Source organism: Homo sapiens, chromosome 8 (genome assembly GCF_000001405.40).
Source record: "Homo sapiens chromosome 8, GRCh38.p14 Primary Assembly".
Classification (NCBI taxonomy): Eukaryota; Metazoa; Chordata; class Mammalia; order Primates; family Hominidae; genus Homo; species Homo sapiens.
In genome coordinates, this window is record NC_000008.11 from 116,986,738 (window position 1) to 117,010,609 (window position 23,872).

At 37.7% G+C, this 23,872-nt stretch overlaps 1 protein-coding gene across 4 annotated transcripts in view; it reads left to right on the top strand.

Moving 5' to 3' along the window:
• SLC30A8 (solute carrier family 30 member 8) overlaps positions 1–23,872 on the top strand; it is a 226,498-nt gene that overhangs the window by 36,521 nt on the left and 166,105 nt on the right. Inside the window, exon 2 of one of the 4 annotated variants that reach the window (NM_001172813.2) lies at positions 20,254–20,376. The exons of the other annotated variants lie outside the window; for them this stretch is intronic. The gene's annotated coding sequence lies outside the window, so the exon portion shown is untranslated. The remainder of the gene's footprint in view (positions 1–20,253; positions 20,377–23,872) is intronic. 4 annotated transcript variants of the gene reach the window in all.

Here is a 23,872-nt window from a genome sequence, read left to right on the forward strand (position 1 = left end):
GGTTTTGTAACTAGGCAGATGGCTTGAAGTGGATTTTCACTGCAACTCATAATGATGATCCTCATAAATGAGCATATTTTATAGTTTAAAAGCTGGTTATGATAGAGAAAAAAATGTAGACCCAAGAAAAATCAAACGTTTCTACTTTGTATATCTTTATTCTTCTTGCTTCACCACCTTTCATGTTCTAAGAAGAAATGTAAATGTAATGATACATCACATAGTCCTTTATAGGTCTATATCATTATTGTTTAGTCTTCTCATATTGAGACACATCTCTAAGTAAAGACACAATATGATAGCGCACTGACAATGGCACATTGGTATGGAAGAAAAATCAGTTTTCAGACTGAAAAACAGGATAAATATTGCCCAAGTCAGGGAATCCAGTGTCTATTCATGTCATGGTATAGAACTTCTATAGGATATCTTTCTGAAAGGCTTTTTATAATTAGGGGAAGGTTCTGTTAAGGATGGATGATTAAAATAAACATTATCTAGAGATAACATGGACACAGGAAGGGGAACATCACACACCGGAGCCTGTTGTGGGGTGGGGTGGGGTGGGGGGAGGGGATAGCATTAGGAGATATACCTAATGTTAAATGACGAGTTAATGGATGCAGCACACCAACATGGCACATGTATACATATGTAACAGACCTGCACGTTGTGCACATGTACCCTAAAAGTATAATAAAATAAAAAATGCACACGTAAAAATAAAATAAAATAAATATTGTCTAGGCTAGGCTAGACTAAGGGAAATTTAATTCTACATCTGTTAAGTCTCTATATTCTTCTTTCAAGTCTTGAATACCAACATGAAGTTCCGTCAGCTGTTTAATTAGCTTCTGATCCAGGCATCTCACTACTATTTACCAAAAAAGAAAAAAAAAAATCCATAGCCTGTGAGCTAGGTGAAGTGTGTCCTTAATACTTTTATTATTATTACTTTTTTATTTTTTATTTTTCTGAGACTGAGTATCACTGTGTTGCCCAGGTTGGAGTGCAGTGGCACGATCTCTGCTCACTGCAACCTCTGCTTCCTGAACTCAAGCAATTCTCCTGCCTCAGCCTCCTAAGTAGCTGGGATTACAGATGCGTGCCACCACGGCTGGCTAATTTCTTTTGTATTTTTAGTAGAGATGGGGTTTTACCATGTTGGCCAGGCTGGTCTCGAACTCCTGACCTCAAGTGATCCGCCTGCCTTGGCCTCCCAAAGTGCTGGGATTACAGGCATGAGCCATTAAGCCCAGCTGCCCTTAATGCTTTTATTTATTATTTTTGTTTTTTGGTGGATGCTCTCTTCCCCTCTCTCCTAAACTGAGATATCCCCATTTGGCACTTTGCCTAGTTGGAGTCAAGCTCCAAGATTTAGACTTATAAGAGTGATGTATGTGCTCATTCTTCTTCTGATAAACTCACCCATGCAGAGGGGATGATGGGTGATCTGGATGGGCAACACTTCAAAAGGGCATTTTGGGGGCAATATCTTAATCCAGAGGAGCTCATGGCAAATAATTAGAAGATATTTTAGGGTAAGCTCCACTTTTCATGCTGTTATATTGCGTACTGCATAGTCAACTGATACCGTTAAGTACCGTGAAGCTCAGGCCTTCTTCTTTCCGTCTGCTGGCTAGCAATCCAGTCCCCCTTGCATGGACAACTCCTTTTCCTCTCATGGTACCAGGTATATCATGATGTCTCTTGCTTTATGGGCTTCCCCAAGCCCTTCTCTCTTTGGGAGCGGTGCTTTGGCCCCGTTCACATAATTACCTTCTGTTCATTCTTTAAAACTTGGCTCAAGAGTTACTCCTCTTAGAAGCCTCCTGGAATTTTTGCCTTTATATTAATCCTTTTTAGATGATTTTCCTCTGAGCTTCCTTAATATCTTATGCGTGTTTCTCTTAGAACAATTGTCAAAGACCATGCTGGTAATATTGTTTATTCAGCAAGAATAAACTCCATATTCTTGTTATTTTACTATAATCGCCAGCCTCTGGCATATACTTAAAATTTGATAAGTATTTTTAGACCAGCTGGATAAACTAAGGCTTACATTGGCAACTATACTTGCCTTCTCTACTACTTCTCTGAATTATCTCAGTGAGAAGGAATCCCTATCTTCTTAATGCCTGTAATACTCTTCCCATTCATATAGATTTTCATTGTATTCCTGACTTGTGGAAAAGTCTCCTCTTGTAGGGTATAAATTCCTCAAGGGCACTAATACTATGCTATGAACCTCTGTGGTCCCTAACACAAGTGATTGGATAAGATAGATATTCAAAAACCACTTTGAATACATAAGAAGAGATAAATAGGCAGGATCACATTTATTGATTTCTTAGAACTATATCATATTTATGCTGAATTAAGCATGAAGGAGGAGGTGAATAAAGATGCTGGCAACTTTGAATGTGCTGTACAGCTTTAATTCCCCAATAAAGACTGTTGAGTCAAAGCTAAAATGCTTGCTGAAGAAGAAGGGCAAATTTGTGGTGGTGTTTTTCAATACTGGAAAGCAAACTAAGAAGTGATGTTAGGTGTCTATTTATGCATCTACTGCCATTGCCAATGATTTAAGCTAAGTGTAATGACAAGATAAATTTCATAGTAATGGGAGGCATTTTTAAATTTTGTAAAGTATATGAAAACATGTCTGAAGCTGTTGACCATAAGTTCACCAAATTGTTCATTCTTTCTCTCACCTACCTCATCCTATATTGTTTATTATTTACCTAAATTGTTTATTCAGTTAAGTAAATTAAACAATTTAGTTTACTCAATTTATTCAAAATAATTATTATTGTTTATTATTTACCTAAATTGTTCGTTCTTTCTCCCATTTACCTCATCTCAAGACTATTGTCATCTAATCCTGAAAGAAAAGAAGTATAATAGAAAAATGATGGTGAATGTGGATATATCAGAAGGATGCAGTAGGACACGAAGTTGTATACAATTGAGGATAACAATAAGTGTATGCAGAAGAGGACATTTCAGTCTCTACTCTGAGGATGGATCAGAAGTAAAACCCCACCTGGAAATGTATCATGGGAAACAACTTCTTCCTGGGCCCAATGGTCAGTCTTCTGATCACATTTGCCAGGAATGGCAAACAGTTTTCAACTTGTGTGCCAATGATTCTAGTGTATTGATAATAAGAGAATTCCAAAGCTACATCAGGTAAAATTAGGAGAGATTCCTTGATTGATTAGTGGTGTCTGCCATGAGACAGAAGATGGGAATAGCTTGCCTGTGCATTTACCATCTCAGGTCTGTGTCATATTCCCAGTCATTCAATTGAATAGCAAGAACTGCAAGCCAGTTTCCAATTCCTGAGGCTGAAATAATGATATTTAAATTTTTATTATGTTGGATGCTGAAATAACATGCTATATACTGGTTTAATGTTGTTATTGTTTTTGAGAAAAGAAATTTGGATTTTTTTCCCATTTTCCTGCTTGTTCCTAAAACCTAGGTTTCAGAAACATTGATTGCCCCTCCGGGAGGTGACACCCAGTCTTACCTTTTCTCTTTGAATATGGCTTCTGAAGAATAGTGTTTAGAAAGGAAAAAAAAAATAGCTCTACAGTGGAGGAATCTGGCAAACCAAGTGATCAAGGTTATCCTCCCCAGTGATGATAGTTGCGTTGATATTATGTACTTTCCGATATCATGTAGCCTCTTCACCTTGTTGTATTTCTCCCTAAAACTTAAAACTCTTACATTTAATCATAAGAAAGCACAAGCAAAAATCAAATCTAGGAGAATTCTACAAAATATCTGACCAGTACTCCTCAAAACTGTCTAACTTATGCAAAATAAGGAAAGAGTGAGAAATATCAGAGCCAAGAGGAGTCTGAGGCAACGTGATGACTATATGCAATGTGGTGTCTCGGAATGGAAAGAGAACATTTGTGGAAAACAGGTGAAATCAAATAAAGTCTGAAATTGAGTTAATAGCAATGCACCAGTATTAGTTTCTTGGTTTTGACAAATGCACCATGATAATGTAAGATGTTAACACAGGGGAAACTGGGTGAGAGGCACACAGAAACCTCGTACTATCTTTGCAACTTTCTGTAAATTTATAATTATTCTAAAATTTAAAGTTTATCTAAAAAACAACCAAATAAGTGAATGAAACTTGTTAAAAGAGAGTTATGTATTTTTGCATCTGTGTGTGTCTGAGACAGAAAGACTGAGAGAGAGAGAAAGAATTAGTATTTTGTTCAAATAATATAGACCTGAAGAATCTGGGCTTTGGAATAAGAACATTTATCTGGGGAGGGTCTTGTGGGATGAGTCTTATTGGTGACTTGCTTAGTTATTATTTGCCATTCTATTTTTGAATCTCCTTTACCTTACTATAGAAGAATTTTTCCTCCTTCTTTTCCCTTTACGAATGAGATTCTAGAAGAATAGTCATCGTTTTAAAAATTTTCCTTGCACTTTTACTCTCAAATACTCATTCTACTATCTTTAGTCAAGAATCTTTTCTTTTTTGATGTCTAACTGTATTTTCATATGATATTCCAAACTATTTTACCTTCTATTTTCTTTCTTTTTTTTTTGTTTGAGACAGTTTTACTCTTCTCACCCAGGCTGGAGTGCAATGGCATGATCTTGGTTCACTGCAACCTATGCCTCCCGGTTCAAGCAATTCTCCTGCCTCAGCCTCCTGAGTAGCTAGGATTACAGGCACCCGCCACCACACCTGGGTCATTTTTGTATTTTTAGTAGAGACGGGGTTTCACCATGTTGGCCAGGCTGATCTTAAACTCCTGACCTCAGGTGATCGCCCATCTTGGTCTCCCAAAGTGCTAGGATTATAGGCGTGAGCCACCATGCTCAGCCTATGTTCTTTCCATTTTCTTACAAAACTTAGATATCTTTTTTATAATTTGTGGCATCAGTTGTAAATCTTAATCTTTAAACCAAATAAAAGATTTGCCATGACAATAGATAAGTAAATTCAGATCTTTTTTCTTTTTCCCCTTGCTGATATTTGTCAGTACACATTCATAATATTGGAATTTAAATTACTTTTTTTGACTAAAAAAATACTTTCCCTTTGACTTGTAGCCTAAGGAATCATGCAAGGGTCCACTGCTAATGCGGAAAAAGAACACAACAGCCACATCTGATGATGCTTATCAAGGTCCATTTAATTTTGCAGTGTCTTGTGGCCCTGAAGATGCAGTGCAGGGTCTACATCCAACATCTTGCTCTTCAACAGTTGTGAAATTAGCTTCAAATTTATGGTTCTGGCGAATACTTCTGGCTTTTTACGTGTTACTTATTAACTAAGAATATTTCACTAGGGAGATTTATTTGACTGAAATGCATTAAAATTACTTGCGTCAATGAACTATATTATAGGTGAAATGGTATAAATTATGTAGGAGGGGGTTCAAAAATAACAAGGTGACAAAGCCGAGAAAAATCAAGAGTCATGTCATCTCTTGATTAGGTGTTATCTTATTTTAACTTTTAGGCCAGAATGTGAAAGTTAAAGTGAAAATGCAAATGAGGAGTTTTGCAATGAGCGAGTAACTTGTATCAGACTAAAGCTTCCGCCAAGAATAATTATAAACGTTGGATTAAAACTGAAAACAAAGCAAAAAGCAGCTGTTTGAAGGTGACCAGAAGCATAGGGCCAAGATTCAATAGGCAAAGAATGTACACGATGAGCCCTAAATTGTCATGGGTTTTGTCTTCTTAGAGCATTTGCCTAGACACAATATGAGACTTAGAAGTTAAGAAAAAAAAAAGTGCTGTGTTGAAGCTTTATGGAAGTGTCATGGGTGGGAGGGACAAAAATTAGAGAGCAGGACTAGCAAAGCAGTCCCAAGTAGGTCCAGCAGTTTGTATGCAGTCTCTCTATGAGGAGCTTATCAGTTACCAAGGGCTACCTGTATTGAGAAAAAAGTTCAGAAACCAAACAGAGAGAGGAGGCTATGAGGCTAACATCTAAGTAGAGGAGACTTCTCTTATCTTGCATTGGACTTAAACTATGGTAATGAACATATCTAAGAGTTGAACAAAGCATATAAAATAATTATTTGCAGCCATGGGGTAGCAATGAAAAAGCTGTAATCCTTGAGAGAAATAGAGCATAAGAAGTGATCCAGCATTCCTGATGCTTTTTCTCTGACAGAGTTTTCCAATTTGCAGCACAAGAATACAGAGCCTACGCAGAGAATCGTGGCCATGTCGAGTAAAGAAGATATAGAGATTAAAGTTTCAGAGTGCCATGGTGGCTGAGACTTAGTAGCATGGTCTTAAAGAAAACATAGCCAAATTATTAGTGGGGGAAAATCTGTCAAAATCTGAATAGATAATCTCCTTGAGTTCCTGGCCTAATCCCAAACTACCTAGTCACAGGGTGCAACTCTGAGAGGCTTAGTAGAGAATAGTTGCTTGAGAGCTGAGCAAAGATTATAGAAGCTCTGCAGTGCTAGAGAGGCAGAGTTTGGAGTTGGGATCCAGGCAAGATGGAGCAACCTCAGGAAACCCTAAAAAATTTTACCCAGGACAATAGGAAGTCCACATTTTAGGAGTCAGCACAATACTCTACAAGTGTGGGTAAAACTAAACCCTAAGAACTGAACTAGCAAAGCCTTGACAGAATCAAGATGATTTGTTTGTAATTTAACTGTCTACTAGAGGAAGAAAACTGAGTTCACAGTGTAATTCAAAGCATCTACAATGTCTAAAAATTACTGACATGCAAAGATGCAGGAAAAGTGATCTATCATCAAGAGAAAAGACAGACCCAGACCCAGAGACAATCTAGATGTTGGAGTTAGCATCTAAACCTAATCACCAAAATTATTATGTTAAAAATAGAGGAAAAGTTGAAAAACATGTGACAATATGGAGAATAGAAACAGGTAACCAGAATCTACAAAAAAGAATAAAATGAACATGCTAGAACTGTAAAACACAGTATCTAAAATTGAGAACTCATTGAAAAAGCTTAAAAACTTACTGGATATGATAGAAGACAAGATTAGTAGCATGAAGGGCATATCAGCAGAAAATATCCGATCTGAAAGACAAAGTAAGGAGAATAACAGTAATAAATAATAATACAAAATTCATAAAGAATGCAAGCAAGAGGCTATTATAAAAAGTTATACCAATACATTTAAAATATTAGGTTTAATAGAAAATCTTTTGAAAATGCAACTTGATATAACTGATAGAAGAAATTTAAAAATCTTAGCATTTCTATACTTACTAGAGAAATGGGATCTGTAATTAAAAATCTTGCTACAAACAAACAAAAAACTAAATAAAAAAAAAAGAAAGAAAAAAAGCACACTCTAGGCTCAGATAGCTTCACTGGTGAATTTTTCCAAAATTTTAAAGAAGAAATAAAACCACTTCACAGAAATGATTCAAGGGAATATGAATGGAGAGAATTTGGAGCAACTGGACCTCTGTGATTTGTGGGAATGTGAACTGGTGCAACCACTTAGGAAAATAGTTTGGCACTGCTACTGAATCTGAATATATGCAGGCCCTGTGACTACATTTTGCTACTTCCAGATCTAGACTCAACAGAAGAGATTACATCCGTGCACAGAAAAGAATGCACAAGTGTTCATAGTATCATTACTCATGATAGGAACAACCAGATGTTCAGGCAGTGTCAAATGGAAAAACAAATTGTGGCAGGTCACTTGATAGAATACCATACAGCAATGAAAAAAATTACAACTACACATTTCAACATGAATGAATCTCACAGAAACAGTGTTAGCTGAAAGAAGACAACATACAGTTCTGTAGGATTCTATTTGCTCATGTTAAGAAACAGGCAAAAACTAATCTATGCCGATTCAAACAGGAAGTGGCTACTTGGAAGGGTGATTTCGAGAGAGGGACTTCCAGTCCTGGTAATATACTATACGTTGATTCAGGAAGTGGTTACACAGGTAGATCACTTTGTAAAAAACTCATTGAGTTATAAATGTGGGATTTATGAATCCTTCTGTATGTATATTATACCTCTCCTGTCTTTCCCAAAAGCGAAGTTAGTCCTCAAAATTTTAACATGTATAATTCATGTACTTTGAGGCATGGAGAAATGACTTGTGTGTATGTTTTAGCTGGTAGAGGAAGGGCTCTTTTTAAATTAATTATGCATCTGATTATGGAAGAAGACTGCAAAAATGTAATCAGGATAATAATGTTAAGCACATTCTTTTTACTTTCTCTCAATTTCCCTTTTTTCACTTGTGACTGTGTGTTCACATCTGTAATTAGCAAGTTCATGGAAGGTCATGCTAATGCCTCTTCGATTGTTAATGTAATGCGGTGTAAATGTAACATAAAACAGATACAAAGCTGCCCTAGAAGAGATCTCGGCTCTAAACTGATTCTGCCCTACCTCAGCCTCTAAACTGATTCTGCTGTACCCTGAGATGGCTGTGATGCCATTTTCCTTGCTTTGAAGCAAGGTTTAATGCATCTTTGCTTGAAAAGTGCTGAAAGATGCTTGGGTATGGAGAGCTCTTGAAATTCCAAGAAATCATTTGAAAGACCCATGGGTTTTAGACGTAAATAACTTTAAATAAGCCACCAAATAAAGCCATCCAAATAGGCCACCTAGGGTCAAGTTTCTTAGTTATTTCATGGCCACACCTCACAGATGAAAAAACTTCATTTCCCACTAGATGTGATTCTCCACTGGCAGTACCCAGCAGAATCATGTTTATAAAAGCATGAAAACCCCTTCCTACTTACGGAATTTGTATCTGGAGGTGCAGGTTGTGGGATGTGTCCCTTTAGAAAGCCCTGTTGGTGACTTGTATGAGCTACTGCAGCTAAGACACTATGTGAACAGAGCCCAAAGGGGAGGCACTGAATGTATTGGGGGCACAGTAGGGAGGGGAGTCATTTGAACAACACTGTGCAGGGTTTTGTATCCTCAGAATAGAAGAGTCTCTAATAAGTGAAGTATGTGGAGTCCTAATAAGGAAAAAGGAGCCAGGCTGGTGGGAGCAGGGGAAAAGCAAAAACCAAAAGCAGATAAGCTGTAAGTCTGGCTTTCTTCATGGTTCGGGACAGATAGCCGTCCTGCACAGATAACGCACAATCTTCTTGCACCTGAAATCACCAGACCATCACTTGATAGAAAAAAATGCAAGTTAATGCACTGCAACCTTGGCATTTTCTGTACTGCATGTAGCCCTCTCCAGCACAAGCACCATCCTGTAAAATCCCCGGTAAGCCTTTGTCTCTTTGCAGTCAGCTCTTCTTTTGCTGATCTGCCCATTGCATCCTTGCAACATATTTTCATATTTTCTCTAATAAATCTGCCTTTCTTTACTTCCAACTGTCTTGGTAAATTCCTTTACCATCCACACCACCAGCCCCAGTTAGTCGCTACCCATGACAAAGTGGATTGTTCAAGTATTTTTATTTTTAGTCTCACAAAATGTTAGCTCTAAAAGAGATCTTAGACATTGTCTTGTCCAAAGCTCTCTTCTTATAGGAGGAAACTGAGGCTCAGAGACTAAGCTGGGGTGAGAACTCAGTGCTTTGGGCTTTCAGTCAGGAGCACTTTGAAAATACCCATTGTCTGTCTTTATTTTATTTTAATTAATTATTTTAAATAAACAGATTAAAATTTGTAAATTTATGGTGTACAACATGTTTTGAAGTATGTATACATTGTAGAATGGCTAATCAAGCTAATTAACATGTGTTACCTCACATACTTATTTTTTTGTGGTGAGGGTACTTAAAATCTACTCTTAGCTATACTTGTTCTCCCTAAACCCCAACTCTCTTTCTGTCTCTTTGTCTCTACTTGTCTTTCTCTTTCTCTCTCTCCCTGAGCAGGAAGGGTGATCTTGGCCAGACAGAGACCTTATTCTTATCCCGTGTAGGGCTTATAGGTCATCACACATTTACCCTTGTATAGGCAAACCCCGTGTATGCTGTTCTACAAGTGTAAGCTTGTGAGACATGTTGGTGGCTGTACATTTATTTGGTAGCTATGAAACTTTGAAAGTTTGATGTTTTGCATGTATATATGGCTCCTACTCAGTGGTATTCAGGCATTTGGAAAGGCATGCAGAATATTGTCATCAGAAGAAAAGTGCAAAAGCAAATGAAAACTTGGCCCAACTCCAAACCCCATTGTTTGCATTGTTTCCTAAGTAGAAAATGATTTAAACATAGAGACTTGGAGTGCTTCAAGAAGGAGGCATTCTTTTTTTTTTTTTTGAGACGGAGTTTTGCTCTTGTCACATAACTTCACTCTTCAGAGTCCAGTTTAGCAAAGACAATATGTGTAGTGTTTCTGTCTCTAAGGAGCAGAATGATAGTTGGGCACAGTTTCTAAAAACCTGTTTGCATGTTTGAACTGCAAGAGGCAGAAGACGAAGGGGGTGAAGCACACGATCCCATGCTTACCATCCACCTCTGAAGCATGATCATCTAGGGGCTAATGGGTTACAAAATGAGGAACTGCACAGTTTGCCTGTTCTTCTGATGATAGTCTTTATGAGATGGGAGCCCAGAGCACACTTTAAAATGTAATCTATAATTCATTGCAGGTGAACCATAAAATGCAAAAACATTAATTTTTACAATGTCTCATTATTTATGACATTTTCCTGTCCTCTATTAAAAATATTTTTTGTTAGATGTATAGAATATTCACAGCTGCTAGATTATTTACAAGGAAGATGATAAACAGTTTTAATGATTTAGCTATTAGAAAATTAAATCAGTTTTTTTTTTAAAGTAGCTTGCTTTTGGGATGTTTTTGCATTGAATGTAGATCAAAACAGGGAAATGAAATTTACTTACCAAAACCTAATTGTCAAGTAAAATTTGATCTAAAAATAGGACTTGGAAATTTTATTTTAGTCAGGGTACATAGCAAAACACCCCAGACAGTGTTTTGAAAATGAAGAATATTTATTAGAGGAATTTCTTTGGAATGAGGAACAGGTAGAAATATGAGTAAATGAGACCCAAGGCTTGCGAAGTTATTGGAGTTGCTCCAGTCGTTCATTCATTCAATCAGTGAGCATAGATGGGCCTCCTGGGAGCCATATATAGTGCCAGATACTGGGAGTATAAAGATGATAAAACAGGGTCTGTTCTCTCAAGTGGTTCCCAGTCTAAAGATGAGACAGGCACATGGAAACAAAGCTACCACTTGGTCATTGCTGCAAAGGAGCTGTGTATAAAGCAGAATGGGCTCTTCTTCTGTGTCTGTGGAGTCTAAAAAGACTTGCCAGAATTCAGAATGTTTGATCTAAGCAGAGATTGTAAGGTGACAGAGGCTGATTTTATTTGACTTATTCAGCAGGCATAAAAAAGTTGAAGAGGAAATTCTTCAAGGTGATGTAGTAGACTGATGTCTTGATGAACCCAAACACATAACAATATGAGATAAAATATGAAAAAAGAAAGCTTAGCAGACACAGGTTCAAATCAAGGCAAACATCTTCAAAAACTGGAAATGGAACAGAAACATGAACAGGTGGTAGAGCTAGAGTGAAGATGCACTGTGCTCTCAAGTGGCAATGATGGCCAGAAATTTGGCTTCTTCAAGAAGCAGAGGGTCCACTACAGGAGACAGAAGTCCCTCCCATACTATTTAAAATGAAAAGCTGGGAAAAATGCTGCAAATTACTGCCTGAGTCAAAGTACCAAGAAACAGCCTTGTGAGCTGATAAAATCATCCTACTGTCTTGGTAACTGTGTCTATAATTCTCTTCAATTTCATCTAAGGGCCTATGCCCTGCAGTGGGTTGAAGAGCGTCCCCCAAAATTCATGGCTGCTCAGAATCTCAGAATGTGATCTTATATGGGAATAAGGTCTTTGTAGATTTGCATATGTAATTAGTTAAAGATCTTGAGATGAAATCAACTTGGATTAGAGTGGCCCCAAACCCAATAACTGTGGTGTCCTTATAAAAAGAGAAGACACAGAGACACATAGGGGAAAAGGCCATGTGAAGAGAGGGACATAGCTTACAATTAGCTGCAAGCCAAACCATGCCAGGGAATGCTGGAGCCAGCAGAAGTTAGCAGAGAGACAGGAAGATTCTTACCTAATACCTTCGGAGGGAGTATGGCCTTGCTGACACCTTGATTTCAGACTTGTGGCCTCCAGAACTATGAGACAATGCATTTCTGTTGTCTTAAGCCACGAGGCTTGTGGTAATTTGTTACAGCAGCCCTAAGAAACTAACATATGGGCCACGCGTGGTGGCACACGCCACCCAGCACTTTAGGAGGCTGAGGCGGGCAGATCACCTGAAGTCAGGAGTTTGAGACCAGCCTGGCCAACATGGTGAAACCCTGTCTCTACTAAAAATACAAAAATTAGCCCAGCATGATGGCGCATGTTTGTAATCCCAGCTACTCAGGAGGCTGAAACAAGAGAATTGCTTGAATCCAGGAGGCAGAGGTCGCAGTGAGCCGAGATCATGCCATTGCGCTCCAGCCTGGGTGACAGAGGGAGACTCCGTCTCAAAAAGAGAAAAAAAGAAAAAGAAACTGACATATGCCTCACACCTCCTTTAGAAGACCTGGTCTGGACTTGGGGCTGGGTGTGGAAGGCATGTAAAGGCAACGATAGAGGAAAGCAGGCAAGCAGGCAGAGGTTGGTAGCAAGAGAAGTGAGCATGAGAGTGACAGCAAGAGAGGGAGAGACAAGGCGAGGGACAGTGCAAGAGTATGTGGGTGTGAGGAGACATAAAGTCCCTGTCCAAGCCCAAACCAAAAGGCTTTTGTTCAAAATGACACTGCAACCATGAATTCATAAACACATGAAGAAAACTAGCATTAAGAAAAACCAATGGAATCAGCTATTGGAACATAAATGTATTCCAGATGCAATTAATTCTATTGCAGTGCCTGACACAGACTTTACTTATTTATTTCATTGATAAATGAGGTTTCCTGTTTCTGATACCATTAGTATCCCACTTCACACCATAAATTCTTTGATATTTTATATTGACATAGGCTTTAAAATAATTATAGTAGGATATGCAGAGGTAAGTTAAAGTTTCACATTTATAAGGAAAAGAAATTATGAAACAAAAAAGCAGACATAAAAAATTAATAAACAGATATGAAAATAATTATATAGAATGTTATTAGCTGCTAAGAGAACAACAATAGACATATTTTCCTAAAAGTTTTCTGTTCATGAGAAAGTAGGTCCCAGGAAGCCCTGTGACCTAACATGGCCCTGGGCATTTTAGTCTTTGGGAGATCCTTAGTGGAAAATCTGGTCCTTTGAGGACGTGCTTCCACTTACAGTAGAAGGAGAAAAAGGCCCACAATTTTCTTCTCCATTTCAAGCTGATTGAGCTGGTTGCTCTATTTTAAACGCTATGAGTCAGATCAAGCAATGTTAGCCATGTCTTATGTGTTGTGGATAACAGTTCTTATTTCTTGAAATCAGAACAGGCCTGAGAGTCAAGACTGGGGCCAGTGAGGTGGGTGTGGGCAGTGATGGGGGAGTGGGCGCAAATTCCTATGACCGAGTTGTCTGGACCTGGGCGAGGGCAAACATTTAAATCTTGTGTGAAGATTTTTAGTCAGTCCACCCTCACTGTGGGCCCTGACGCTTCCAGTCCAAGTAAGGCTTGTAGAAATTGTGACCAGGTTTGTCGTAAGGATCAAATGAGCTAATCCAGACACTATTTTGCAAGCTCTGAAGAGCTGTAAAAGTGTATAAATTGTAAACTTAAAATGAAGGCCAAGTATTTTATCTAATGTGCTTAGTTTTGTGCCTGGATCTAGACATTTGTTGACTTGAAAAGTGAAAATAATTGTAAAGTAGCATATTAATCCAAATTATTTGGCTGTATCTGCTGATGCTCAAATGTTAAGACAGAAAAAAAAGAAAAAGCAATACAAGAAAGCAAAATAGTCTAGCAGTTATTATTAATATCTAATAGTGGGTGCTGTGCCAAGAATTGTTCTAAGTGGTTTAATAGTAGAATGGGCTTTGGAGTTAGATGGCCTGGGTTCAAATCTTGACGTTACTACACGGTGGCTGTGTGAACTTGGGTAAGTTACATAACCTTTCTAGACTTAATTTATCTCATTTAAAATGGAAATGATAATGGGCACATTGTGAGGATTATATATAATAATACATAGAGTTTAGTAATATACCTAGTATGTTAATGAGCTCTTAATAAACATTAGATAATGTAGAAGTATTTGTTGGTTGCCTTCCCAGAATCCATTTTCCCCTTCATCTTTTTTCAGCATAATATTGAATTTCTCCACTATGTGGTTTGTATGAGAGTAACCTTACCTTCCGTGTATCAGGGTGGGCTCTGACTGGCCTAACCCAATCAGCTGGTTCTCCTAAATTTTTGGCCATAGGTATTATGTTAGGGATAGGCTGATGACCCAATTTGAACCAATAACGTAGGAGAAAATATTTGCTAGGGGCTTTTTTTTTTTTTTTTTTTTTTGGAATTTTCTCTTTGCTCATTGGGTGAATAAGAAAGCACATAAACTTGGTGCTGCTGATAGCCATTTTGAGAATACAAGGGGCATCTTTTATGAAGTTGATATCACGCAAGGCAGACTGTGGAAATGGAAAGAAACTAGGTCATTGGTGAAATCATTGAGCAGCTGGATCAAGTAGCACCTGCAGCCTGACTATCTCTCTTCTCAGTTATATGAGTGAATGCATCTCTTTTATTGTTTATGCTGTTGGAGTAGGGTTTTTCTATGACTTGTGACTGAAAGCATCCTGATACAAGTATTATTATTGCAACATGCCAAATGGCTGACTCATTCTAAAATGATGGTAATTATTGGCATTGAGAAAAATATTCAGGTGACTAGAATAGTTTTTTTCACGTGAACATTTAAGCTTTGAAACTGGGCTAAGATTGTATTTCTGAAATAATAAAGTTGAGCTTTAGTTACATTGGTTAGGAGATGGAGAATAAAGAAAATCAAACTGTAAAAGTCAGATTTCCTCCAGATATGCTGGTTTATCTGGATATGGTTTCCTTGCCATAGAAACCATAATATCATATTAGCTACTATTCAGCAGTCACCTATTGTATTTAAGGAGCTCTGCTAGGTGCTATGCTTATATTTTCTTTAGTTATTTCTTAGAATTTTTAAATAAAGCAATGGTTTATTTATAAACCATTCTCTAAACAGAAGCTTAGGGAATGGTTTTAGGTCCTAGTGCCTAAAATAGTGCCCATTATGCTGAGCTCTCAATAACTAATTGTTGTGTGTTAATTAACTGCCCAAGTAAATTCAAAACTAGGGCTCAGACCTTTGTCTGCTTTCTTCCAAAGTCCTTGCTTCTGTCACTGTACCACATTGGTTCAGTGCATCAAAAATTCCATCCCATTATTACTAGAAGTTTGTTTATGGTGTAATTTACTGGATTGGTATCTAAGGCAAGTAGCTGTCAATTGAGAAAGTTTAGCTTTTTCAGAGTCAATTCCTAATTTCATCACATTTACCATTTTTTGACTTAGATCATTGCCAAGAGCAAGAGAGATAAGATATATAAACTCCAGGTTGCTAAGCCCAAGTAGTTTCTAGCCCTCAATGGAATTCTTTCTGTTACAAATTACATGCCTTAAGTTGACATCCGAAAGACTTGCCCCAAGTACTTTAAATAGAACTGACAACCTGTATTCCAGATCTAACATTGGTTATTCCAAATAAGGCTTTGGAATTCTCACCCCACCATAAAATACCTTTAAAAATACATTTTTTTTCAATTTGCCCTGAAAGTTAAAAATTTCTAGAGTAAAAATGTGATTTATAATGAGGATTCAGTGTTTCTATTGAAAGATGGTTTTTTTGTTTGTTTTGTTTTTGTTTTTGTTTTTTTGAAACGGAGTCTTGCTCTGTCACCAGGCTGGAGTGCAGTGGCGCAATCTTGGCTCACTTGAACCTCTGCCTCCCGGTTTCAAGCAATTCTCCTGCCTCAGCCTCCCAAGTAGCTGAAACTACAGGCACTGGCCACCATGCCCAGCTAATTTTTGGATTTTTACTAGAGACGGGGTTTCACCGTGTTGGCCAGGATGGTCTCGATCTCTTGACCTCATGATCTGCCTGCCTCGGCCTCCCAAAGTGCTGAGATTATAGGCGTGAGCCACTGTGCCTGGCCAAAAGATGTTATTTTTTTTTAGCATCCATTCGTTGTGAATTTCAATATTTTGAAATATTTTATCATGCCCAGATTAACCAACTTGGATCTCATACAGTAGATAATAGTCAGAAGTATTCTGTGTCTATGAAAATGGCCTTATTTTCATTAAGAAATAAAGAGAAATGACAGATATCTAATCTTGTTGAATGTCATAGCCTTCAGTACTTTCTGCTGCAGCACTTCTGCTGCTGAGTATAAAATTCAAGGTCCACATTGCCTACAGTAAATGTAAAACTCAGGCCCGCTAAGACCACAGTGGTTAATATGGTCTTTAAAATTTCCCATCAGAGCCTATATGGTTAATCAAGAAACAAAATGGTATTGTCAACACGTATGTAATAAGAACTACCATTTATTGAGTACCTACTAAGTGGTAGGTAAAGTGAGAAAGGTAGCATAATGAATTGGCAGGGGCATGTTGGTTGAAGTTCTATACTAGCTTACTGAGTGTGTTAGCCTAGTGAAATTATTTAACTAGTCAGTTTCCTCAGCTTTAAAATGCACATAAAGCTTTGTGTATGGTAAGATATTGATACCTATCATGATTGTTATTATCCTTGAATTTGAAAAGCAGAGCGGCAGAGCTGGTACTCTGATGTAAAGGTTATCAAGAAGGTCTTTAAATTCTGCTGCCGTTCTTTTGTATAATAGAGAAAATAGGCACTATGGAACTTGGCCATGGACATGAAGGGCTTCCTGGAAGGGATGATATTTGATCTTTGCCTTAAATGATGAGTAGGGTTTTGGTAGGTGAAAATAATTAGCATTTTATTCTCCAGGCTGTTTAGAATCTTAGTAGCATAAGCAGTGAAAGCAAATAGGTTTCCCTACTAATTTATTTACGATAATTCATTGGCAGAGTGAAGCAATTAATTAATGCTGTTTGTCATATGGGCCAGAGGAAAACATTTTGACATCTCTGTCTTGCTTATTATCCTCTACAAGTCTTTTCTCTCCTCCTTAATTTTTGGTCCTGAAAAGAATGTTTCCATTAAAGCCAGAATATTGAATGTAAAAAAACCCACTTTATCAATATGGCTTTACATAGACGTGTTTGAAGGAACAACTATAAACCTTTAGTCAGAAACATGGTGGATGATATTGAAAATTAAAACCAACTTTCAGAATCTGAGCACTAACAAAATCTGGCAGCACCTCATTGTCCAGTCCCTGTTTATGTGCCTCTATTTGATACAGCTGAATCGAGTTCAAGGGGATATTAATACCCACAGTCACCTTTTAATCTGCACATGTTCTCATTTTCATTCTTCCAGACATCTCATCCTGAAATTCCTATCACAGCTAATGGACATGTTATTTAAAGTGTCACAAAGTTATTGTAGAATAAAGTTAGCCACACAAGGGGACTGGGAGACACATTTTGAATAGATCTTTCTCAGTCCTTTTCAAAATAGTTCTGCCATAAGGTCTAAACCTTGAATAAAGTCCTGGGAAATATACACTAAGCTGAGCATATAGATGCTTGTTAGAAAGTGTTTCCTTTTTGGATCTTTGAGTTCTTTGGCATGAGTCATCATCAACTGTAAAAGAGCTTTTGATGGCGTCAAGAGCGTGTCCCTGTCTATATGGACAGACTCTGACTCCTTCTCGGAGGATAATTGATACCAGAAAAGGTGCTCTGAAAGCAAGTCTACTTCATGGTATTTCATGGTAAATAGTTAATCATTCAATCAATGAAAGATTAGATTGGAACGTTATCTTTAAACAGAAACCAAAAATTATGTACATAAGGATGCTTTCTCTTACATTTGATACAGTGAGGGTATGAATGTCTGCACTGATTAGAACCAAGAATGTACCAAGTGTTGATTGTTTTTATTTTTCTTTTTGCTATAATTTTCTGGGTAAACTATATAATAGTAGCAAATGCCATCTTTCGATGCACGTTTGACTCTAGCAACTTGTTTATAAATAAGAGCATTTTTTGCAAAAATTTTCAAAGGTTGATATATTTTTCCAGGAGCCTCTCTCAATTCTCTTATATTGGAATAATTTTCTCCCCTCCCCACCTTTAAAAAAAACAGCTTTATTAATATATAACTCACATATCACCCAATTGACTTATTTAAAATGGGCAATTCAGTGGTTTTACTATTTACACAGAGTTGTGTAACCGTTACCACAGTTAATTTTAGAACATATTTATAATTATACCCTTGAAAGAAATCACATGCCCATTAGCTGTCACTCCCCAATTCCCACCAAACCCGTTCCCTCTCCCTCTGACTCCCAGTTCTAGGCAACCACCAATCTTTGCTGTGTCTGTGTAGATTTTTTATTCTGGTCTGTGTAGATTTTCTTATTCATTTTCTTATTCTGGACACTTCATATGAATGGAATCACATAAATCATATGTCTTTTATTACTTTTATGATTACCTTCTTTCACTTAGCATAAGATTTTCAAGGTTCATCCATGTTGTAGTACGTATCAGTGTTTCATCAATTTTTATTGCGGACCAATATTCCATTGTATGAATATACCACATATTGTTTATGCATTCATCAGTCGTTGGACTTTTAGGTTGATTCCACCTCTTGGCTATTGTGAATAGTGCTGCTATTAATATGCATGTACAAGTACTTGTTTGAATATATCTGTTTTAAATTCTTTTGGGTGTATACCTATGTGGAATTGCTGGGTCATATGATAACTCTATGTTTAACCTTTTGAGGAACTGCCCGAGTGTTTTCCAAAGCAGCTATCCCATTTTACATTACCACATTCTTTCAAAATAGCTATTTATCATCATCATATTGTTTTTACTTCTTCAACTGCTCAGTTGTCTGACTTTGACAGATCCTCATTTATGGATAGTTTTGGAAATAACCTGAACAGTTTTCCAACCTAATTTCGTCAACTTCATGAAACTGAGCCTCCAACAGATTTTGCCATTTCACTTGGCAATAGATTTACCCTCAAGTGACAGATACTGCATCCAGTTTGCGTATTTCTTAAAACAACCTCAGAAAGTAAGTATTATTAGTTGTAACTTAAAAGTGAGCAAATGTAGGCCCAGATAAATTAAATAATCAGCTAGTAGGTGGTTGGACCAGCAGTCAAACTATTGTGAAAAATGGAATTGGATTTTACAGGAAAAGTAATAAGATTAAGGGTAGTGTTATCCAGAGGCACTAATAACCTCTGAGCCTCCACTTAAGCTACCTTATATATTCCTCTCAGGAACTCTAAGCGAATAGGATAGAAATTAGGATGTTGGTGATGCAAGTAACATAAAACCTGAGCAAATGTGGCTTAAACCATTGTGGTTTATTTTTCTTACATAATACAAAGTCTTGGGGGAGGCAGTTACAGAGTTGATTCAGTGGTTTAATGTTGTCAGGCTTTTGAGTCTATTTCAGTGTGATCCTATTGGGTTTTTGTTCACAGTTGCAAGATGGAGTGTAAGCATTATGCCCTCACCCTGCTCTTCCCAAAACAGGAAGGGAGGAAAGATGTTTCTTTCTTCTTGTGTGTTTCTTTTATTTTACCAGGGAAAAAAATGTTTTCCCCAGAAGACCCTTGTAGACTTTCTGTTATGTTTTACTGGCCACAGAGGAGTTCCATTCCTATTCCTATTTCCAAGAAGCTGGGAAAGCGAGTGTCTGACAATTTCAGCCTCTCTATTGTATGTAGGGATCTGTTGGCTTGGAAAAAGTGGGGGCAGAACGGCTGGTGCGTCATCAGTCTACCATGTCTGTTGCAGTTTGGAATGAATATCTCTAGTGTAAGGATCCCTGAAGCTCAGAGATGCTAAGTAACATCACACGGCTAGTTAGTGCTAAGACTGAGAGTTGAGTCAGGTAATTTTTTTTTTTTTTTTTTTTTTTTTTTTGAGACGGAATCTGGCTGTGTCTCCCAGGTTGGAGTGCAGTGGTGCCATCTTGGCTCACTGCAACCTCCGCCTCCCAGGTTCAAGTGATTCTCCTGCTTCAGCCTCCCTAGTAGCTGGGATTACAGGCACCTGCCACCCCGCTTGGCTAATTCTTGTTTTTTTTTTTTTTTTTTTTTTTTTTTTTCTGTAGAGACAGCATTTCCCCATGTTGGCCAGGCTGGTCTTGAACTCCTGACCTCAAGTGATCCGCCCGCCTCGGCCTCCCAAAGTGCTGGGTTTACAAGCGTGAGCCACCGCGCCCCGGGGGAGTCAGGTAATTTGAATTCTAAAACCTATGCTGTAGCACATGGTCTCAGAGGTGATGTGTCTATTTGAAAAATGTACCTATAGGTAGACAACTGTCTTACTTATCATACAAGTAAGAGAGATAGAGATGGTTAAAAAACATTTATTTTCTAGAGTATAAATTAAAGTTATTCTTGTTTATGTGTTGCAAAACAGGTTTTGGAGGCATTTGGTTTTTGATGAATTCTGTATATTTTTGGCTTCATAAAAATTAAAATCTCTTTTCCTCTCATATTGTTTTTCTGAAGTAGATTATTTTGGGAAAATGTAAACTGAGATTTTAGAATTGGAAAACTGCCCTTTAGTTACTAACATTCTGGATTTTTGCTTGGAGGCAGGTGAAGAAAGTGATTTTAGTATTCCTTCAGCCAAACAAATGTGTTTTCCTTCTGAACAGCCATGTGCTTACCTGGCAGAGGAGCACAATCTCATGTTAAGTCCATTTCAATTCTTTTCTTCAAATACATAGTCATGATGTGTGAGTTAAAGAGATAACACTAAAGGTTTTGCATACCTTATCTCATTTGACCCTCACAACAACTCTGCTGGATACCTATCGATTTCCATTTTATCCCTGTGGAAACTAAGGCATAGAGAGATTAAATAACTTGTGTAAGGGCACACATTAGTAAACAGTAGAACTGAAACTTGGACCAAAGGCTTTCTGATTCCAAAAAATATTCTTTTTTAAAAAAAGTCACATAATATCTTTTAATATATTAAAAATTGATGTACACAAAAACACTTAAAAACACAAATATACAAATTAAACAAATTAGAATCATTGCCCAGGGAAGGAGAGACAAAAGAAAATGTAAAATGATATATGGTAATGGCTGTGCAAGCATCAATTCTACATTCAACCTTAAGGTAATGGGTATTAGGGGAAATGAGCAACCGATAAGAGGCTGGTAGTGGCAAAACCCATATTCTTAATCACATGCTGTATTCCCACTACATAGTAAACTATTTGAGCTTCATTGCCAACATTCCAAGATGAGAAAAGGCTACTACTAGAATTGTGGTTAATGAATAAATAACTTAGTATAAATTTTTTTGAGCTTGGATGAACTTTGCTCTTAATAATACCAATAAGAACCCTATTGTATTTGGAGGACTAAAGTTGACTCCAGAAGTATTTCTGTATGACTTAGAAGTATATTTTTAACTTCAAACTTGTAAGTGCTTTTCCTCTTATAGGGAGAGGTATTGTCAATAACTTTAACAGGAGAGAATCCCAAAGAAAAGCTATTTTATTTGAGAATGAATATGTAGCCTCATGTAGAGACCTACTCAGGTTTAAGTGCCTTACATTAGATACCTTCAAGTCACTCTCTTTGTACCTGCCCCCAAAGTCCTATTCAGAGCAACCTCATTCTGTCTGAGGGTGGGCTGTAGAAACTGTTGGTAAGATTGATATGTCAAATGGTCAAGTATCTGCAATCCAGAGTGGACTATCTCTGCCATCTGAGGTTGCAATGAGTTTATAGATGTTCCTGACCTTGTTTACAGAGGTGGTGGCCATTCTACAATAAAGTACATGAGAACTATATCTATCTGTTGGGAAGGATCCTTTTACCTCAAGGCCCCCTTCTGCTTCAGGTCATGCTTTGTGTAGCCCAGTGTTGCCTTCAGCCCCAGAGCCTAGCCTGATGATACTCATGAGGTCAAGCATTTGTTTTGTATCTTAGTTTCTATTTCTTCTTAACCCTTATCAGCCCAGTGTTTTTAGGGTAGATGACTGTTATGTTAGGTAGGCCCACATCCGGAGTGTCTAGTTATGTGATGTTGGGCAATCTACCTATTTTTCTAAAACTCAGTTTCCTCCCCAGTAAAGATGGAATAATACAGGATTACTTGGGAATCAAATGAGATGATGTTTGTAAAGTATCCTGAACAAATAACTCTTCTACCAATGCTGGTTTCCCACCCTGTCCTTCTACTCAAGGACTTAGTAATCAAAATCCCCTGCTTAGAAAGTTGCTGATAAACTCAGTCATACTCAAACTAAACTGCTGGACTTCGATGGCTTAAAGAGTTTCTATTTCCTTGGAGACCTTTGACTGACGTTAAAAAAAGAATCTCTAATGGTGGAATTGCAAATACTCTTAAGTCAGTGAAGGGAGATATTTGAAAGAGCATGGGCCTTTTCTGGAACTCCAGAAATCATAACTTGGAGGCCAGAATTTCATATTGAAAAAACTGAGAGGGAAGAAAAAAAGACTATTTTCTGAAAATTCTAAAAGGACCAAATGAACTTGAATTGCCCTTCAAGAACTAGGTGAACAAATTGCTCTTTGTTTTTTGTCATTCTTATGTGATTTCTGTTGCAATTCAGTTTAAGATGGGGCATTGGCAATTTTGTGATCTTGTGACAAATCATGGGGACTCAATGAATATTAACAAATCCCCAGTGACCTGAGATTGCAGGACTCCATAGTTACTCTCAAAGGAAATAGTTTGTATCAAAACACTTTCTGATGTGAAGGCAGGCTGGGTTTTGTAAAACTTTGTAAAGGAGAAGCTGATAAATTCAGGCTGTTTATCAAACAGTTTATTTTGCTGGGGAGACAGAAAAGAGTAAACCAATATGATGAAGGCCTTCTTCTCAGCTTTGTAACAGAGAATATACAGTATTTACCTGGGAAGATTGTTGACTGGGTCCACAATTCACATAAAATTATGCAGGTTTTCTGAATATGTCATGGGAACATTTTTTGTCCTCTCTTTGGAAATTGCTCATTTTTAAAACTTCATGATTCATTTTGTAATATTTTTTCGGAGTGAAGCAGGCAAAGCCAACGCACTTGACTTGAAGAGGTTGCTTATGAGAAAGGTTTGAACAGCACAGGCTTTGAACCTGTCTGAGGTTGATTCCCTGGAAATGGACTCTGAGATGGAGTTTTGTGTATATGAGTTTTATCAGAGGGTAAGCCTAGGGACAGCACATGTAAAAAAATTGGAGGAATTAGAATTAGGCAGGGGAAGAAGTTTAATGGGGATAGAGTTGGAACAGAGGCCTCAGAAGACCCCATGAGAGCTTTGTTGTACTCTTCCAAACTGAGGCAAAGCGGTTAGGCTCTGGAACCACTTCTTATCAATGGGGCCTGACTTTGGGTGAGGGAGCTCCCTTTGTGGAGGGAAATTCCAGGAAAGGTCAGTTGTGAGTCCTCAGCAGACAAAGCTTCAGCCAGCTCCCACAGTGTCCAGAACAGGAGTCATACCCTCGGGTTAGAATCTGGCAGCTCCACGGCCTAGTAGTTGTGAGAATTTAAGCAGTTCATTTAAACCTCTGAGATTACCTCACAGGATGTTGAAAGTTCAATGAGTTTTACTGCTTAGTAAAGTGCCTAGAATTTAGGCAACGGTCGAAAAGCATTGTTATTATTACATGGTGCTTTATGAAAATTATTAGTTCATGTTTTTCTCCTGAGTTCTACATTCACAGATGTAATTGGTGACTG